We start from the raw sequence: 19482 nt of genomic DNA on the forward strand, positions 1-19482 counted from the left end.
CAACATACAACACATGTTTTTGTGATTTTTAAAAATATGTTTTTTCTACACGAATAAGTATAGCCCAGATTATCTCATTAGTGACATAAAAACTCTCCTGACTGAGTAAGCCTGTCGTTGTTACTATTGTTATTATTTTGACACACACAACTATTTAGATAGGTCTTGGTACAGATTCATGATTTGAATGATACACATTAAATATGTGTCAGAGCTATTATGGGAGGCCTGTTTTCACACTTGGCATCTCTTCTCAGTGTCCTTGAGTTTAGCAGTTATTTGAACCTTGTATCTATCCTCTTGGCATCCCCTATTGTTTTCTGAGGCATTGATATCTATTATGGAAATCTACATGGTGGGTATAGAGCTCAAAGATACCCATTGAAATATTATTTATAGAAGTAGAAAGCTAAAAATGATAAATGTCATATTTAAGAAAATAGGTGAGCCTATTATGAACATTATGAAGCCATTGAAATAATCTTTGCAAGGAATTTTAAGCACATGGGAAATGGCTTTTGATATGTTTACAACAGAACAATCAGGATAAGTAAGCAATAATGGCAGCAAACAACAAAAAGCAGGATATAAATTACCTATTTGTTAGGACCTTAAATATATAATATCAAGTATAGGAGGAAAAAACCCTCTTGATTGCAAGATTATTCGTATTTTTTTCTTTGCTTTGTTACAATTTCCTGCACTTTGCAAAATTTTTTGCTATGAAGGCGTAACTTTTTTTTTAAATCATACAACATAATGTCATGACTTATAACAATTAAGGACGCAGGGATAATTCCCTACGTTTGGGGGTCCCCAAGATTACTCCTAGATTCAACAATTTGCTAGGAGGATACACAGGACTCAGCATGCAGTCCTACTGATCACTATGATCTATTACAGCAAAAGGATACATTACATCAAATGATTAATTACAGCAAAATCCAGAGAAAACCAGGAGCAAGCTTTCAAGTGTCCTCTCTCAGTGGAGTTGCACCAGACTTGTTTAATTCCTCCAGCGATAGGCTGTGACAACACATGTGAGATCTCATCTACTAGGGAAGCTTATTGGAGATTCAGTACCCGGGGTTTTCACTGGGGCTTGGTCATATACGTAGCCTCTGCCTACTATGCACTAAAAATCCAGACTCCCAGAAGGAAAGGAGATGTTAGCCACATTGTACAAACAGTTGAGGCACAGTGAGCCCCTCTCATCAGGGGAAAATCCAGGTTCTCAGACACCAGCCAGGACCAATTTTGAGGAGGCCTTTCTTATGCTAGCAATCTCAGGCCTGCTATATTAACTCTTTTCTGCACATTCCTTGCTCGTAATGCCTCGTATTTCCAGATGTCATCACAGAATAAGTAACCGGAATACCAGGAATCTTCCTCCTTTTTACCTGTCCTTCCATCTCAAACACTGAATTTATTCCACTATGGTCTTAAAGTCTATGGCAATATAAGCACCTGGTTCCTCCCACCTACGCCTTTCTCAGGGCCAGAGAGGTAGTCTCCTGTGTGGGACCAGCTGGTGAGGCTGTTGTGGAGCCAGGGGAGCATAATTAGCACAGTAGTGCTAGCTTCTGGCGCCTGGCTCCTCACTTTGTGTGATTTTCCTTTAGTTCCAACTACTTAAAAATCAATTAGATGGCAGTCATTAAACACAAGCAGCAATACATAACTAATTGTCCCAGGAATGTAATTCCTGCACACCCTGGGGCTCTGAATATAGTTTAGCTTCCCTTCTGCAAGCAGAGCATGTCAACATACCTGTCCTGTGAGACATAGTCTAGAGTGATGACTTCATGCTCATCCTCTGTCTTCCTGGGGAGACTTCAAGACATGGACTCGCATGCTCATTTTCTAGTCACCTCTGTTGTTTGAGTCGATGATGTCACTTCTTCATGGTGGTCTTTGCCAGCACAGAATTGGGAGGTGAGTCAATGCAGTTACTTGCTCCCACTTCCTGTCCTTCATCACTCATTGTTTTAGGCAAACTCGTCAACCCTCTGGGTCTGTTTTCCCATTTATAAAATGTAAATGATTTCGGAATCTGAGTCTATAAATATACCTTGACCCTAATACATGCTAATTCATTGACCTGAACAATTCCTGCACACCCTGGGGCTCTGAGTGTAGTTTAGCCACCCCCACCGTCTCCCAGTACCTGCCTTGACACCTGTGTACCTAGCTAAGCTGCAGGTTTAGTCTAATAAGGAAGTTCATATTCTTCCTACTCCCTTGGGCCCTTTCCCCAGTCTGTATTCAGTGGAATCTGAGACCCCTTTGCCATAAAACAAACTTTTTATTTTGATAGAGGCAAACCCCTGTATTTTACTCAATTTTGCTGAGTGGAGAAAGCATTTCTGCTTACACTTGCTTGCTGTGTTCAGCCTTTACCCTTGATGCTCATAGTTATGTTTAAGTATGGCAGTCAATGGAATAAATAAGTTTATTATTATATGCAGGTGTTTACTTTTGTTTTTCATTTCCACCTCCCCTACTTTCTTTAGTAACTTATGTTGATGAAGATGAAAATGAAATACTTGAATTATCATCAAACAAAACATTCTTCATCATGCTGAAGATTCCAGAGGAGTGTGTTGCTGAAGAGGAATTGCCTCACCTGCTCACCGAAAGGGTAATTCCATCTTATATATTGCCTAAGGAGTTCTTGACATTAGAATATGAATTTTGCTAGAATAATTGGCATAGAGCTATAGAGTAAGTAGCTTCAATTTTGGATTCTTTGTCTGGATTTTAGCAGAAAATGATGCTTATAAATATATTTTATGACCAAATACCACATGTTCTCACTTACAAGTGGGAGCTAAATGATGAGAACACATGGACACGAAGAGAGGAACAGACACTGGGGCCTACTTAAGGGCGGAGGGTGGGAAGAGGGAGAGGAGCAGGAAAAAAAGTAACTATTGGGTACTAGGCTTAGTACCTGGGTGACAAAATAATCTGTACAACAAACCGCCATGACACGAGTTTACCTATAGAAGAAACATGCACATGTATTCTCCTGAGCCTAAAATAAAACTTTGTTAAAAAAATAAGTAAATATCTTTACTGTAGTGCAAAGCCAGAGGGAAGATTCCTGGCCTCCAGCTGCATAAATGCTGGAGGACACTGTTCTTTTTACTCCCTTAGGTCCTACATTTAATTCAACCTATAGTATTCATTGAGGGTCTGTGATGTGCTAGACAGCATGCCAAGTGCCAGGGCCACATTGTCTGTGCCTTCAGGGGTCTCACAGTCCAAGTACAGGAAGTGACTAAAAAGATCGTTTTATAATAGTGTGGTATGTTCTAGTGTGTTGTACAGTGGCAAAGGAGGGGCATCTGAGCTACCTCAGGTGAAGATGAAGGCATGAAAGGCCTGTTAAGTGAAGTGATGCTCAGGATGAGTTTTGAAATGAGGTAGGAATGTTCTAAATAAAAAAGCATGGGACATTAAAGGATCTGCAAAGTAGTGTACTGTGGCCTTCCCATGCTTTGTGGTGACAGCTGGCAGAGATAAGGCTAAAAAGGAAGGCAGGCGTCAGGTCATGAAGGCTTTCCCACTCTTCAATAAGGCACCAAAATATTTTAATCAGCAGATTGACACAGTTAGATTTTTCCTTTTAGCCTTTCTGTGTTTTGGTGGAGAAAGCCAGGAGGAAGAGATCAGTTAGAAGGTGTTACAATAGTCCAGGTGAGAAATGAGGGAGACTTGAACTAGGGCAGTGTCGGGAAAATAAGGAAGATTTGCGTGAGATTTAAGAGGTATTCTCACTCAATAAGAGTCCATGACTGATTGGGTGGTGGTGAGGAGAGCATGACTCCAAGCTCCAGTTGAGTGATTGGGCAGATGGATGGCGGTGTCAGTCATGGGATGAGAAACCCAGGAGAATGAACCCTCTGTGGAAGATGGAAGCTCTGCAGCCAGACTAGGACCGTTGGGTGGGGCATCCTGATCATCCTGTCAAAGACAAGGTGGTTCACAGCCAGACCCAGAAATTTTGATAAGAAAATCTAGGCAAGAGCAGGCTGCCCTCCATTAAATTCTTCTCTGCCATTGCTAGGTTGAATGGAGTGAGTGCTGTTTATCTAACTTCCATTCGATTTGATTCCTACAAAAGCTCCTGAAGAGGCGATTCCATCCAGGTCACATCAGAATCAGTTTCTGGGTACCCACGCATGAGATTTCATTGCTTCTTTTATCACAGGAGTTGGTATCCTGTGATGATTACTCCAGATTTCTCTTTCTCCTTCTCTTCATTTATATCTTTAAATTTTTTTTAGATTGTTTAAATTTATTTATTTATTTTTATTTTTTATTTCCGTAGGTTTTGGGGGACCAGGTGGTATTTGGTTACATGAATAAGTTCTTTGGTGGTGATTTCTGAGATTTTGGTGCACCCATTACCCGAGCAGTGTACACTGTGCCCAATTTGTAGTCTTTTATCCCTCACCCCCACCACCTTTTCCATCAAGTCCTTGAAGTCTCTTCATTTATGTCTTATCTTCACCTCCTTTTCTCCTTTCCTTCCACCTGCTTCCTGGGGCAAGTTGCTGAGTGAGACGCTTCTTGCTACTTTCCTCTTGGCTGCTTTTTTAATGGAGAGGTTTTTGCATTTGCTGAGCAGAAATAAGATGAGTCAGCATCCACATGTGTCACCTGTTGCATAGTAGACTGTCTATTTCAAAGGTAAATGAATGTTCATTTTTCATTTTACAACCATATATCTTGCACAGAGTCAGATATGAGGAAATTCTGCGGGTATTTTGAGCTCATCACTAGGTAGTGGCAAAAGAACAGGGACTGACATTGATGCCTGTGGTGGGTCCACAGATTTCTTTGAGCCAGTTTCTTCGCTGATAAATGGAAACCAGTGCACTTTCTCTGTGTATCTCAGGTGCAAATGAGATTACATAAAAATAACTTGAAAAACATTTTAAAAGAATTATCTTATTTACAAATGATCAAAGTAAGGCATAGTGAGGTGACAGATTCCTGCCCTTCATTCGTCAACCAAATATGCTCAGGAACAAAAATTAGCACCTAAAGGTATTGCTGTCTTATTGTCAGGTCAATAACTCCTTTCTTCCATTAGGTCAAGTTTCAGAAGTTTCTGGATATAAAAGGTAAATGGAAGTGGGTATTTGTGGGGGAAAAATTATTTTTTTCTCTATACCCACATTCAATGCAGAACACTTCTTTGGCCGTGTGTGTGTGTGTGTGTGTGTGTGTGTGTGTTTTCCACACCAACCAATTATCTGCCACCAGCTGGGTGTCTTGCAATCCAGTTCAATTCTGACATGATCTGCCTGGAGTTAGTGCAGACCCCATAGTTTAAGGGTTCAGCCCCACAAAACTTCCCTCATTTAAGATGCCAGTTACGGGAGGCTGAGGCAGGCGAATGGTGTGAACCCGGCAGGCAGAGCTTGCAGTGAGCCGAGACCGTGCCACTGCACTCCAGCCTGGGCAACAGAGCGAGACTTAGTCTCCAAAAAAAAAAAAAAAAAAAGATGCCAGTTCAGTTACAAGTCTAGGTTGTCACTTGTGCTTCTGACCAACCAGCTGCAAATTGGAGGTCTCCAAAACCCCCACCTTGGGTTTGGTCATTTGCTAGAATGGCTCACAGAGCTCAGGGAAGCATCACATTTATGGGCACACTGTAGAAAATAGAGGATATCAAAAGCCAGATAAAAAGGTACATAGGGCGGACACGTGGGACAGAATGTGGGCATCCATGTCCTTTCAGGTGTGCCACTCTCCCTTGTAAATGTGTTCAGCCACCTGGGAGCTCTCCAGACTCTGTCTTTTAGGGATTTTTATGGAGATTTCCTCACATAGGCATGGTGGATTATTAGCTTGCTTTCCAGCCTCTCTCCCCTCTGGAGGATGGGGGTGGAGGTGGGGCCAAAAGCTTCAGATTTCTTCTTCTTCTTTTTTTTTTCTCCAGACAGTTTTCACTATATTGCCTAGGCTGATATCAAGCTCCTGGCCTCAAGCGATTCTCCCTGCTCAGTCTCCCGAGTAGCTGGGACTACACGCATGCACCATCCCACTCCACCACACTGGCTGAAAGTTCCAAGCTTCTAGCTGCGGCTTGGTCTTTCTGATGATCAGCCCCCATCCAGCAGCCCGCCAAGAGTTGCCTCATCAGAAATAAAGACACTCCTATAACCCAGGAAACTGCAAGAGATTTAGGAGCAGGTCTGTGTCAGGAGCTGGAGTAAAGACCAAATGTTAGAGTAAAAGATGTACCCGGCGCCCCTGTCACTCAGGAAGTAACAAGGGTTTTAGGAATTCTGTGCCAGGAACTGGGGCAGAGACTAAACAGTATACATATTGTTATTATATCACAGTATTGGAACTTTATGCCCTTTCCCTTGACTTTTCTAAACACAGGCCCTGCCATGTGTCACTGCCACAGTGTTTTCCTCTCAGGGTTGGGGCCATTACTCTGCTTAAGCCAGCCTGTGTGACTACCACACCCTGTGCATGGGTTAGGAGTTAATGATGGCACCTGCCTTATTCTGGAAGCTGGTCTCTAATTAGCCACTGCATCAGACTCAGCTAATCAATTCGCTGAGCTCCTTGCTCAGTTTGCACCAAGCCTCATAGACATTGTGTGGGAGACACAAGACTAAGGGTTGAGGAACCACCCTATTTCACTTCTTTGGGCCCAAAGTGGACAGTGTGACTAACAGCTCCCCAAATGTAAATATGTCCTAAGTACAGCAGAGGAGCATGATCAAAAAGAATCTTCGAGTGAACACTAAAAATGATTTAGTCGACCACTCCATATGTTACCTTAAAATTTTAACTTAAAAATTTGCTGAAAGCCTGTTATGTGCAAAACACTGTGCTGGGCCCTAAAGATTAATAAAGGAAAGAAGGGAAGGAGGAAGCAGAGAAGACTGGAAGGAAGGATAAATATCACCTTTGCCATAGGAAGCTCAATCCAAAAGGAAGAGAAAGACATGAGTGCTTGACATTAGTGCTTGAAAAGATTCTCCTCTGCAGCATCCTCATCCTCCTCTCCATCACAGCATCCCCGTGAAAGCTGCTTTCCTAGTTCCCGAGTTTTCTAAATGACTGTCAGCCTATCGGCAACATCCTGTGCATTGGGGCTTAAGAGCTGTACAATGACTCAGTCATTTTCTCCGAAAGTTTTTGTCACTTTAAGCTTCTTTCCTCCTTGATATTCAGGAGACACTTTCCTTCACTGTATATATATCAATTTCTTCTTCACTGGGTAGTGTGGTCAGATGGGAAGAAGCTGGTTTTTAGTGTTCATAACATGTAGGATTGAATTTTGGCTTCTCCTTTTACTAGCACAGTGACCTGGGACAGGTTTTCTTCATCTCATGGAATGGAGTGCTGTTTAATTTTCCAGTAAAAAGGGGAGATATATTAATGCCTGTTTTGCCAGGTTTTTATAAAGATCACAACAGTAGTGACAAGATTAGAAGAGCAGAAATAGCAGGCACTCTCATCTTTTGTTCTCTTTGAGATATGGGTTGTACATGTTGAGTTAAATGGGAGTGTATTGTGGAAGTGCAGCGTCCTTGACATTCCATTTGGAGTTGAGGGGAAACAGGGTAAGCTCCCCATAGGGCACTGCTGTTTTTTGTATGTTCGACTGCTTGTTATTGAATAAAGTAATAGGTCATTAAGCCATAATGGCTGTAGCTGGGGATGGCACATGTTCCTAGTACTACTAGTTTAGGATTCAGATATCTGAAACACAACTACTCAATGCCTGGGAAAAGATACTTGTAACATAATATCAACAACTAGTATCCAGAATATAAAACTAACCACTTCAGATAGATAAGAAAAAGACAGATAAGCCAAGAGAAGGAAAGGAAATGAGTGAGAAATTCAGAGATGAAAAGTCCCAAAGAGTTAATAAACATGAAAAGATGTTCAACCTCACTAGTAAGCGAGGCAGTACAAATTAAAACAATGTGAAGCACTATTTTATACTCCTCGGAGTGGTAAAAATTTAAGTTTGGTAACACTAAGTGCTGGTAAGGATGTGGGAAATGGATATTTATACATTGCTGGGAGGGGTGGGAAAGGGAGAACAATTTTGTGAAGTTGGAGATGCACCTACCCTTAAACCCAACAATTCCTTTTCTTGGCATATGCCCATTGGAAACTCCCGCATGTCCAAGAAGAGATGCATGGAGACATTAAGGATGATTGCTTCAGCATAAGTTGTGATGGGGAAAATTGAGAATAGTGCATGTGATCATCATCAGAGGAATGGATAGGCTGGTATACTCATTTAAAGGAATCTGTGCAGGAGTTAGGTGAATGCCTTTCATTGAGATTTACTTTATGGGTAAATCTTAAATGTAATTTTGAGTGAAAAAAGGCAAGTTTTAGAAGATTATGTAGAATATGGTGCCTTTTATTTGAATAAAAACACAAATTATATTTTGTTATGATTACATAAATAAGTAGTAATTTGTAAAAATATGCAAGGAAAGGATGCATGCCAGCTTCAGAATGATGGTTAGTATTAAGAAAGAGAGAGAGGAGGAACTGAATAGTATGTAGGAGTCACTTTAGCTTTATTTTGTTTCTTAAATTAAAGGGCTGAACCCAATATAGCAAATATGAAGACATGAAAGCTAGGTAGTGGAAACACAGGTGTCATTATTTTTTATGATGCTTGCAATATTTCATGCATAAAATAAAGCCTCCATATTTTTGCAGTTCCCCTCTTTGTCTCTTTGTCCAGGGGATGTGCTAGACCCATGGCTTAGCATGGCTGTTTGTCTTTACACTGAAGCTCTGGAGAAGGGAGAAAGAAGCCCTGGGCTAAGCAATGTCCCAGGTGCTAAGTGGTCTGTGCTGCTGCTGTCCAGCAGCCATTTTGGGGTCTTCTCTTCTCTCCTTCCTATGGTCTGTGAGGCCTGTGTGGGCTCCAGCTGCTGATATTCTCACCACTAAGGCCACAGGGTGCCAGTGCAACTTCTGAGAGAAACTGAGTCATTTGGTCCTTATAAATGGAGTTCTTTTGAAGTAGCATTAACTTGAGTTTTGATTTATGGTGGGCTCAATTCTTGATCCAGAGCTTCCAGATAACGTTGATTCCAGGCTGGAGTGGAATCTCCTCTGCCTTAGAAGCAGTTTTGCTTTGTCAGGTGATGTGTAATATGATCTGTCGGTAATGTGTGTGGTTTAATTTGCTTCTGTTTGTTTAGCTCACAGATGTGTACAGTACATCGCCCTCTCTGGGTCGTTATTTTACTTCAGTTGAAATAGTGGACTTCAGGTAAGAGTGTGGAACATTACATTTTGCTCTCTTTCTCTGGAAAGAGATCCCCCCACCCCACCCTTCGTCATTTACCTAGCAGGGATTCCCAGAGCCTCAGAGCATGAAGGGAACCTGTAATAGAATCACAGAATGTCAGTGCTGGGAAGGTCTTTTACACCAACAGGCTCAACTCCCTTATTTTACAAATGAGAAAAAGGAAGCCCAGATTAATGGTATAATTCAACCAGGGTCACACAGAAGAGGGGAAAAGCCAGTCCCAGGTAAACCATTTCTGTTTAACAATGAATGCTCAAATAAGCTAAGGGTAGAAGTAGAAATAGATCTCAGGTCGTGCTGTGATGCGAGTGATACATGTATAGGCATTTGCTTTTGAGGAGCACAAGTAATACAGGAGTACATTCTCCTTGTTTAGTATTAAAGATGTAAAGAGGGGCCGGGCGTGGTAGCTCACGCCTGTAATCCCAGCACTTTGCGAGGCCAAGGCGGGCAGATCACTTGAGGTCAGGAGTTCAAGACTAGCCTGGCCAACGTGGTGAAACCCTGTCTCAACTAAAAATACAAAAATTAGCCAGGTGTGTTGGTGGGTGCCTCTAATCCCAGCTACTCAGGAGGCTGAGGCAGGAGAATCTCTTGAATTCGGGAGGGGAGGTTGCAGTGAGCCGAGATTGCGCCACTGCACTCCAGCCTGAGTGACAGAGTGAGACTCTGTCAAAAAAATAAAAATAAATAAAAATAAAAAAAAGAAGACATAAAGAGGTATGCACAGGAAAAGTCTCCCTTCTGCCTCCTTTCTTCTCCACTGCCACCACCAATAACTAATGCCATTCCCTTCCATGGAGGTAATAGCTGTCAAGAGTTGAGTGTAATTACTTCTGTTCATGTATCTACCATAGGCACCACAAATACTACACACACATAGGATATACACACCCATATGTATTTTTTATTTTTTAAATTTCCTCCTCATCTTTAATGTTCTTGAGATGTAGGCATCAGGGTGTATGTGTGTAGAGTCCATTTATTATCCTTTTACATCATTGGGACTATTGGAGATGACTTAAAATTTATATCAAAGCTTCATTATCCATTATGCCTGAGATGTCTCTGGAATATGACCATCAAAAGTTGTATTATATTGAGATTCCCCCTTCAAACTATAAGTTCTCCAAACCCTAATATTAGCAGACCTGGGAGGGGAGGCACATAAAGCAGGTGGTAGGTAGCACCATGGTGTGGGGCCAAACAGACCTGAAGTCTACAGATACATATGGTGCAGGCTGCCTTTGATCTCCTTCTTTAAAGACCCCCAATGGGCTGGGCATGGTGGCTTACACCTGTAATCCCAGTACTTTGGGAGGCTGAGGTAGGCAGATCATGAGGTCAGGAGATTGAGACCATCCTGGCCAACATGGTGAAACCCCATGTCTACTAAAAATACAAAAATTAGCTGGACGTGGTGGCGCGTGCCTGTAAACCCAGCTACTTGGGAGGCTGAAGCGGGAGAATTGTGTGAACCAGGGAGTCGCAGGTTGCAGTGAGCTGAGATCGCACCATTGCACTCCAGCCTGTGACACAGAGAGACTCAAACAAGACAAAACAAAACAGACCCAGTGTACATGGTACTTACGGTGACATCTCTGCACTTTATTTCAAGAAGTCCAGGCAGAGGTCCTAAAGTATTGAATTGAGGAAGAAAAGCCATTGCTTCCCAAAGGGTGCTGCTGCACATGGGTGGGAGGCGGCTAAATCCCTGGCACATGCATTTGTGTCTACAGGGGCATTGTGACCTCAGCCCTGGACTGGCCCAGCTAGAACCTGGAAAAATGCCCTTTGGTTTATTAGCTGCTAGACTCACTCCAGTGGTGGGCAGCTGGGCGAAAGGCCCTGAAAGTTGCTCTTTTCTCAAAATTCAGCCTCATGTAAATTTACCCTGTGACCTGCCATGGGGGATTAGGATGGGCTGGCCAGGCCAGGCTAGGTGGCCTGATTTTCCCATTCAGCTTCTGACCTGGTCTTCTGAAAGTCAGACTCTGGCCCTCTTCATTAGCCAGCCCAAGTCCTTGCCCCTGGGAATGCAGGGTGGCTGGCTGTGTAGGTGTTGATCATCATTAGCGATAATTAGAGGGCAGAGCTCAGGGAACAAGTTATGACACCTGCAAACTAGGTTAGCTGGATTGCAGTTTGAAAGTGCATTTTTTGGCCCTCCTTTAGTGGCATCCTTGAAACTATGAGTTTCTTCAGAGTCCTGACTCTCCATTATTCATTTGATCTGCAGGATCTGGCACATCTCCCAGCCGTAGTAGAGTTTATAAGCTCAATTGTCAGCCACCTTGTAAGATCGAAGAGTATCGGCCTATGTGACCTGTAGCCAGAAGAGGGAGCTCTTTGCCTATCCTTAGCAGGGGCAGTGGCCTGATTCACACTAATGGGACTGGTGCATCTGCAAAACTTCCCCAAGGTGATAGTCTCAGATGTGGCCTCCTGCTCATTATTTTATTGCTGGTTCTTAATCTGGCCCATCTTAAACCAAAGTAATAGGATAACTATGAATAAACTAAATGTTGAAGTAGCATTTAAAGAGTAGCATTAGACACTAATTAATGGAGGGTAGCCCTTGATTATTTTTATTTTGGAAATGGGAAAAAATGTTCTAGGAAGATGAAAATTCCCTTTCCTTAGGTCCCATTACTGAGAGTTACAGGGCTTGGTTATCTTGCCCTAGGGGCCTCTGGAAATGGGACAGAAAAGTTTCTCACTTTGGGGACAAACCAGGGAAGCCTGATTTGTTGCTGATACACAGGGTGGTCTCTGTCAACGTTCAGAAGTTCTGGACCCAGCCAATGGTAGGAAACTTTGGCTGTGCCTTAAACATTTTCATAGGTCAAATAAAGAATTGGTTAAACTAAATATCCCTGGCACACCTTTGTGGGGGCAATGCTGAGAACATGAAGAAGGAATGTGTGTGGAGAAAAGGGGAGGCTTCCCTGGCTTGCCTTAAGGGATGAAGGCTGGGGTTGGGACAGATGGTGGGTCAAGCCTGGGATCTTCTCAGCATCTTGACTGGAGATGGGCACCTCTACCTCTACCTCTGATGGCCTCTCCCAGTGGATTCCTAGAGGATAGGTACTAGGTGGAAGGAGGAGGTTAGGATCACCTCAACTTTTTGTGATGAATCTATGGAAGAGGATTCTTATAGGACAGTATGTTCTTCCAGGACAGAACATTCTTTGCTATTTTGTACTGGAAGAACATGCAAAACTAAAAAAAAAAAAAGTTATTGCTTAAATTCATTTCTTGAGTTGCAGTATGATGCTGTTTATGTTTTAATGTCTTCCATTGCCTTTCAGTGGTGAAAATGCCACAGTAACGTATGACCTGCAATTTGGGGTTCCATCAGATGATGAAAATTTTATGAAGTATATGATGAGTGAGGAGTTGGTGCTGGGCATTTTGCTACAGGATTTCCGTGATCAGAATATACCTGGTTGTGAGAGTCTGGGGCTTGATCCAACATCCCTCTTGCTCTATGGTAAGTAGAGCAAGTAAAGAAGTCAGAGTTGTGACAATAAACAGGTGAACCAGATTGGGGTCAAATTGGCTTGGTTCGATTTGGCAACTGTGGTGACTTGGTACTGTGTCAGACTATTCATTTATTCACTCATCCCCTCAGCAGATGGTGTTGCTGTGAGGTGATGTTCCCCTCTCTGTGGAGGCTACACAGTCCGTGCCCTCCATAATTAGACAGTGTAGTTGGGGAGCAATTATGGAAAAGATAATTCAACTATAAAGATGAACATTGCTACATGTTTCCTCATGCAGTTCACCCACATTCTAAGCCCTGTATCCTACTTTACAACATGATTAGCAACCTTTATGGAGATACTGTGGTTTCACAAGAGAAGTAAGAATTGAAGAATTGGAAATAAATGATACAGCTAAATTGCTGAAAGAGTATCTCAATATGGGGAACCTATTTCTTTTTCTGTTGAAGGCCACTGAGACCATTAAGAAATTAATAGAGGGGTATACAAAGACAAGTTTATTCCTTTCCTTAGAAAATTATGACAAATTTACTTGTCAACTTTTAAAATTAAGAACAGAACAAGGAAATAGATATGTTCTTTAATAAATGTAACAAACACCCCATTTATCAGAATCTGAGAACTTTTGACACTCAGAACAAAACCTGACAGAAAGGAAGGTCAGAAGGCCAAATGGCTTCAAGCCCTCAAAATATCCTTCCATTGCTTTGTAGTGAAGCTCTGGCCTTTGCTGCTGATCTCACTTTCTGATACCTCGCTCGGAGGCTTGTTTGCTCTTATTTAGCCCCTAATGCCAACAATCTTGAATATTTTATGTTCTCATCCACAGTCCATCAGAATCACTTTCTCCACATGAGTAGGTTCTCAGTAAATACTAGTTGAATGAATGAAAGGCAAATTAGAAGTAGTTGTGGTTGGCAGCAGGTGCATTAACGGTCTAGAATCAGAAGCATGGAACAGGGGGTTAAAAGCACAAGTGTTAGTGCATAGTACAAGACAAGGTGTTTATTATGATGATGACACTGTTTCTTGAGGATGAGAGGCAAGAGTAATGTTGGCCTAAGAAGGCAGAACGTTATGTAAAACAGTTCTTAAGAATGCCATTCAGAAGGCCAAATTTTAGCTCACTGGAAGTCTCATAAATGGAGATCTTCCTCACAGAGCATCCTGAATAAAGTGTGTCTGTGGGTCAGGCAGACACTATATGTGTGTGGAGTGAAGAGATTGTGCCCCAGTTACAGGAATTAAAAAAAAAAAAAAAAAAGCCAGGCGCGGTGGCTCACGCTTGTAATCCCAGCACTTTGGGAGGCCGAGGCAGTTGGATCACCTGAGGTCAGGAGTTCGAGACAAGCCTGGCCAACATGGTGAAACCCCATCTCTACTAAAAATACAAAAATTAGCCGGGCATGGTGGCAGGTGCTTATAATCCCAGCTACTCGGGAGACTGAGGCAGGAGAATCACTTGAACCTGGGAGGCAGAGGTTGCGGTGAGCCGAGATCGCATCATTGCACTCCAGCCTGGGTGACAAGAGTGAAACTCCATTTCAAAAGAAAAAAAAACCCAGAAACCTTCAGCCTCCTCCCATGTGAAGAGGCCTGCGATGCCTGTGGGGGCTGCTGCTGTGGTGTGGTTGGTCTTGATTTTCTTAGGCCCCTTGCAAAAATTGTTACTGGCTCTTTCCAAATGGAGGCCAGGGAGATGGGCAGAGGTCTGAGGAAAGGTTTAAGAGGCTTCCAAGGCTGAGAGGTTCAAATAGTACAGGATAAAGGGCAGGCTGCTTGTGAGACCTGAGGAGGGCTCCCAGAAGACCCTGAGCTTGGCCAAAGAGACTCAGCTGTTTCCCCAGGGCTTGGTGCTCCAGCAGGTGCTGGGAAGGCAGCTGTGAGTGGAACAAAGTCTCTGCTCTTCTGGAAATTGCATTCTTTCTCTCAGACATTTCTTCTGACGGGACATGCTGAGAAAATGTGGGGTTTTCTGTGACCCCATGTCCCACTTTCCAGAGCATGAATGTGCAATATTTGAGCCATTTTATGTTTTCAGAATGTGAGTGTCACTGCCCTCTCAAAGGGAAGGGTGCACAGAGAAGCAGTTGGGAAGTGAGGAAAGAAGAAGAGGGACTCATCGCAGGCATGCAGGCAGATGGGGGATGAGCTCAGAGGCAAACTCTAGAGAAAGGGAAAATGTGTCAGGGAGAGGCCCAGGGCCCTGGGAGGGACCAAGAGGGATGGAATGAGTTCTTACGCCAGTTTCTACGTGCTCATGAGCTGTGGGCTTGGGGGATTACCATCCCCGCCCTGTGATTACCCAGGCAACTAGTTTCCCACAATGGTAATGTTCTTAGTCTTCAAAGAGCAAAGATTCTTAAAATTGTTTGGTTTGTGTGCTCCTTAGAGAATTTGAAGACAGCTGTGTACCTTCTCCCCAGGAAAAAAAAATGTACCTACTTCTCCCCACAACACAAAATTGTACAGACAATTTCAGGGATTCCGAGTATTTCCCTGAGGCCAGCCTATGGTCCATTTGGGGTTTGTATATGTGCGCTTTAGAAGCAGAATCCAAAATTAGATTGTAATTTAGATTCCTGAGGGGTTTTGTGTGTGTTTGCTTCTCATTCTCTAATTTGGAAATACGGCGATTATTTTGACCTGACTGCATGCATATTTGGATGCCTTATAAAAATAAAAACTTAAAATATAATGATAAAGGAATTTTTTAAGTCCATCATCCCTCACCCTTCCCTATCTTTGGTCTTCTTCACCTCCTAGATGAGTGGGGCCCTGGGCTAGGAGGGGGAAGTCTGTTTTACAAAGGTCGAAGAATAGGTCAGCATCATGAGTTATTTTGGACACAGAGGAGGTACTTGGTACTGTTCTCACATGGGAAGGAGTCAGCTAGTAGACTGAGTAGGGAAAAAGGGCAAAACCAGGATTTTTGTGAGAGAGAAGAGGAAAAAGCCCCAGGTAGGGAGAATAGTGAATCTTGTCAGTCCTGTCAGTGGTGGCGAGGCTGGACTCCTGGTCTGTAGACCCCGGCGGGCTCCCCCTGTGTTGTGTCTGCTTGGGGCTTTGCATCTGCACCTGCTGTGCCCTAGGGTTCACACCATTTCTCTCATCAGAATTTCTCACAGTATATTTTACACGTTTTAAAAACGGAAATTTTAGAGTTTATGGTTAGATTATGAAAAGGGACTGGATGTTAAAATGTCCTTAGCACCCAAAAACCACATCATCAAAATTATTTCTCATGCATCCTACCCAAACAAATAAGCAAGAAACAATAAATGTCATTTGCCTTTTGAAATGTATTCAGAGCGGTGTGTGTGTGTTGGACTGAAGACTAAATTTCCTCTGTTAGGAATGTATAAACCTTGCAATTTTATCTAAGATTTTACACTAAAATTCAATGAAATGAAATGAAAACGTAAGCATTTAATAGTGGTTTTAAAAATCAGTAACTTTTGTTCATCTGTGTTTTCTTTTTAGAATGAAGTGATGGAGGCTGGTCTCTGTCTGAAAGCAGTGCTCTACCAAGTCCTGGAGATGAAGGGAATTCACTCTGTTTTGCAGAAAAGATTCTGTGGATTAATACAGAAGCACCAGCAACACCAGAGGGGTGGAGACTCCTTTCTCTCCCGATTCTACAGTCTGGCTCTAAGCCCAGTAAAACAGCTCCCGAGCACTGCTTCAGCTGGGTCCAGTCTTGACAAAGGCAGGAAGCCAGCTAGGGTGGGGGCGATAGGGTCAGCGGGTATGTCCCACTGTTGGAGGTCACTGGTATTCTGTTTGTTTTTGTTTTGTTTCGTTTTGTTTTTTGAGACAGGGTCTCGTTCTGTCGCTTAGCTGGAGTGCGGTGGCGTGATCATGGCACTGCTATTCTTGAAGCACTCCACCCACCTGGGCTACTTTTTCTTTAGTGCAGAGGTGCACTGTCTTCTTTTAGGTGGGATCGCGTAAGCATGAGCTGGTAGAGCACGGAGAGGCAGGCAGCCAGGTTACGAAGACTAAGCCAATTATTCACTGAAGTCATCCTCCTCCCCCCCACCATTCGATTTGATCTACCTCTAAGCCAGGCTGTGAAGAAAAGGAAGGCACTTTAGAAGACCTCAGCAGTGTGGTTCTGTGTCTACTTCCATGACCTGTACCTGAGTATCTTAGCCAGCCAGCCTTAGGAACACCACCAAGGTTACTTTGAAATCTATGTATATAGCTAGTTACAGACGGGAGCTATGTGTTTCTTCATTATTTTGCAGCTCCTCGTTGTTCCTGTGATTCCTGAACACCTTTTTGGAAATATGGGTCTCTGTGAGTTTTGAGCACACTACTATCACTTTGGATAGTCACTCCATTTATATTTTTATAAACTTCCATTAGAGAATCATTAAGGCTGTTTAATATCTGCTCTGGATATTACGCATTGGCTTTTTGTTGCCTAGTGCTACAAACCTTCCTGTGGGACTCAGTGTCTTCAGGCAATGATTGTGTATCCTGTTACAGATGGTTGTGATACAAGAAGAACCACTCTTCTTTGAAAATAAACTCTTGGAAGCTTTTGCCAGCTATTTGGGGGGTAGGAGGAATATTAGCAACTGTATTGGTTGTCTACAGATACAGAATTGCCTGTTGTGAGGGAACTGATTGTTTTGTTGGGAAAAGAAATTTACCAGGAGAAAGAGTTTTGTGCTGTATTGTGAGAGATCTCGCCTCTCAGTTAAATGAGCCCTGGGTTAAAGTCAGTGTGAAGGGCAGCTGTGTGCGGGCACGAGCCAGAGTGTCTGCCTCAGACTAGATTTGACTTGAGTTCTTTATGACCCAGGACTCTGGATAATGTGAATTTGCTTTCCTATTTAACTAGAAGATACATGTACTATAGATCATTGTCTCATTTTAGTGATTGTTCCTTAAACTAGTGAAACTAGTGGATTTCTCTTCTTCCTCTTTATTTTCTGCATGTTAAATGTGAACCTTAGTGTATTTGTATTTTGTAGAAAATAATGAAAAATTTTAATGGAGAATGATTTAAAAACATTTACAATACATTATTTTTGCATCTGTGTTGTTGCATTCCCATTGGCTGAGCTTTGGGCTGGGTTTTTGTTTGTTTGTTTTTTGCAGTAAATGGTGTTGAGCATAATTTTTTTCATTTCCCTTAGGGCAGCTTCCTCTTCTGGGTGAATAAGATCAAGCCAAGTTTGGCTGGGGCGGCCTGGGTTCTCCCCTCTGTTCCAGCAAGAGCAGGCAGAGGCCATCCCCTCCTCTTTCTCTGAGGCCCTCTCTGGCAGGACTTGGTATCTGAAAGGGCTTGGACTTGAAGGAACAGCCTGTTCATGTCTGGAGGCAGGATTTGGTTTTGTTCTTCCCTTCTTGTTCAGAAAGCACCAAGATGCAAGTACCTTGTCTTGGGTTTTGACCATTTGCAAGTCATAGAGAGGACTTTCCATAGATTTGACTTTTCTGCCCAAATGGTATGGGAAAAAACTAACCTTTGTGACTAACATATTTGGTGGTGTTTGAAAAAAAACGGCCCTTACAAATGCACTGTTCTGCTATAGGAGATAAATCTACTGGTCATCACACAACATCATGATGAGCATAATGCCTGGTACATAGTGAGGTTTTAATAATTGAAGGATTTGAGAAGAAAACTGCTCTTCTCTGGATGTCACTTAGATATGGATAGAATGGCAACAGCCATATCAGCAGAACCTGCTCCTGTTCCTCTGCCAACAAAAATTCCAGCCATGTGTCTGATTCTTTTTTGCCTTTCAATTTAATTTAGTTCTACAGATTTGAAAAAATGATGTGTTTTATGGAAGGCTATGGGGATACTAGTGGAGAAGACAACAATAAGAAAAGAAGCTGTTAGTCTTATTAAGGAGTCAGGATCAGTACAGATGAAACAGGAAACAGCAGAAAAAAATACCCAGGGGTCAAAAACAAAGGCAGTCTGGGCGCGGTGGCTCAAGCCTGTAATCCCAGCACTTTGGGAGGCCGAGGCAGGCAGATCACCTGAGGTTAGGAGCTCGAGACCAGCCTGACAAACATGGTGAAACCCCATCTCTACTAAAAATTAGCCAGGCGTGGTGGCAGGCGCCTGTAATCCCAGCTACTCAGGAGGCTGAGGCAAGAGAATCGCTTGAACCTAGGAGGCAGAGGTTGCAGTGAGCTGAGATCACGCCATTGCACTCCAGCCTGGGTGACAAGAGTGAAACTCCATAACAAACAAACAAACAAACAAACAAACAGAAACAGTAGGGTTGCGGGTGGTCAGAGAAAAGAGTGGTCAGTATAATCAGAGGACGTTTTTTTGTAGGAAGTAGGACTGAAGCCGAATCCTGAAGCACTGGTGGGATTTGAATAAGAAGATTTGCCTTCCTTTACACATGTTCGTGTCTTCTTAGGATGAGGTACATATTCTCTCTTTTGTCTTTTACATGTGAATTCTGGACATGAATCCTGTCCTATTCAGAGTCTGATCAATGCTAAGAAAAAATGGGAGAAATCTCTCAATGTCCTCCTTCTCCTCTCCCATCACTCTTTCATTGCTTTAAAATAAGTTAATTTACACTGCATTGTGAATTAACAATTGCTGCATTGTTGGCAGCTTTATCCACAGACATCCTTGAATCTTTCCTTTGTGACTAGAGATTA

At 42.7% G+C, this 19482-nt stretch overlaps 1 protein-coding gene and 1 non-coding gene across 5 annotated transcripts in view, besides 6 other annotated features; both read left to right on the forward strand.

Annotated features, from left to right (window-relative positions):
- Window positions 1-19482, forward strand: part of C3orf52 (chromosome 3 open reading frame 52) — a 49993-nt gene that overhangs the window by 13936 nt on the left and 16575 nt on the right. Inside the window, exons 3-7 of one of the 4 annotated variants that reach the window (XR_924171.4) lie at window positions 2514-2641; window positions 9219-9289; window positions 12640-12821; window positions 16318-16582; window positions 19145-19238. Coding sequence is in view for 2 of the 4 variants with exons in the window: in NM_001171747.2 (NP_001165218.1) it covers window positions 2514-2641; window positions 16318-16674 (485 nt within the window). In the remaining 2 variants the exon portion in view is untranslated. Of the gene's footprint in view, window positions 1-2513; window positions 2642-9218; window positions 9290-12639; window positions 12822-16317; window positions 17887-19144; window positions 19239-19482 lie in introns of those variants that run through there. The other 3 variants (XR_007095726.1, NM_024616.3, NM_001171747.2) reach the window with 3 other exon arrangements.
- Window positions 1317-2516: an enhancer, noted in NCBI's record as "CDK7 strongly-dependent group 2 enhancer chr3:111820488-111821687 (GRCh37/hg19 assembly coordinates)". NCBI's record gives its function as "activates an origin of replication core promoter dependent on BRD2, BRD4, P300/CBP, MED14 and CDK7 cofactors, with strong dependence on CDK7, by STARR-seq in HCT116 cells {active_cell/tissue: HCT116}" and the evidence as "EXISTENCE:reporter gene assay evidence [ECO:0000049][PMID:35650434]".
- Window positions 12477-12574, forward strand: MIR567 (microRNA 567). The gene has a single exon (NR_030292.1). It is a non-coding gene; the product is annotated as a microRNA 567 (primary transcript).
- Window positions 14512-14771: an enhancer, noted in NCBI's record as "active region_20230". NCBI's record gives its function as "activates an Ori minimal core promoter by ATAC-STARR-seq in GM12878 lymphoblastoid cells {active_cell/tissue: GM12878}" and the evidence as "EXISTENCE:reporter gene assay evidence [ECO:0000049][PMID:35858748]".
- Window positions 14792-14871: an enhancer, noted in NCBI's record as "active region_20231". NCBI's record gives its function as "activates an Ori minimal core promoter by ATAC-STARR-seq in GM12878 lymphoblastoid cells {active_cell/tissue: GM12878}" and the evidence as "EXISTENCE:reporter gene assay evidence [ECO:0000049][PMID:35858748]".
- Window positions 14882-14931: an enhancer, noted in NCBI's record as "active region_20232". NCBI's record gives its function as "activates an Ori minimal core promoter by ATAC-STARR-seq in GM12878 lymphoblastoid cells {active_cell/tissue: GM12878}" and the evidence as "EXISTENCE:reporter gene assay evidence [ECO:0000049][PMID:35858748]".
- Window positions 15162-15251: an enhancer, noted in NCBI's record as "active region_20233". NCBI's record gives its function as "activates an Ori minimal core promoter by ATAC-STARR-seq in GM12878 lymphoblastoid cells {active_cell/tissue: GM12878}" and the evidence as "EXISTENCE:reporter gene assay evidence [ECO:0000049][PMID:35858748]".
- Window positions 15808-15867: an enhancer, noted in NCBI's record as "active region_20234". NCBI's record gives its function as "activates an Ori minimal core promoter by ATAC-STARR-seq in GM12878 lymphoblastoid cells {active_cell/tissue: GM12878}" and the evidence as "EXISTENCE:reporter gene assay evidence [ECO:0000049][PMID:35858748]".

The sequence above is a fragment of the Homo sapiens genome, chromosome 3, assembly GCF_000001405.40.
Source record: "Homo sapiens chromosome 3, GRCh38.p14 Primary Assembly".
NCBI classification, from domain to species: domain Eukaryota; kingdom Metazoa; phylum Chordata; class Mammalia; order Primates; family Hominidae; genus Homo; species Homo sapiens.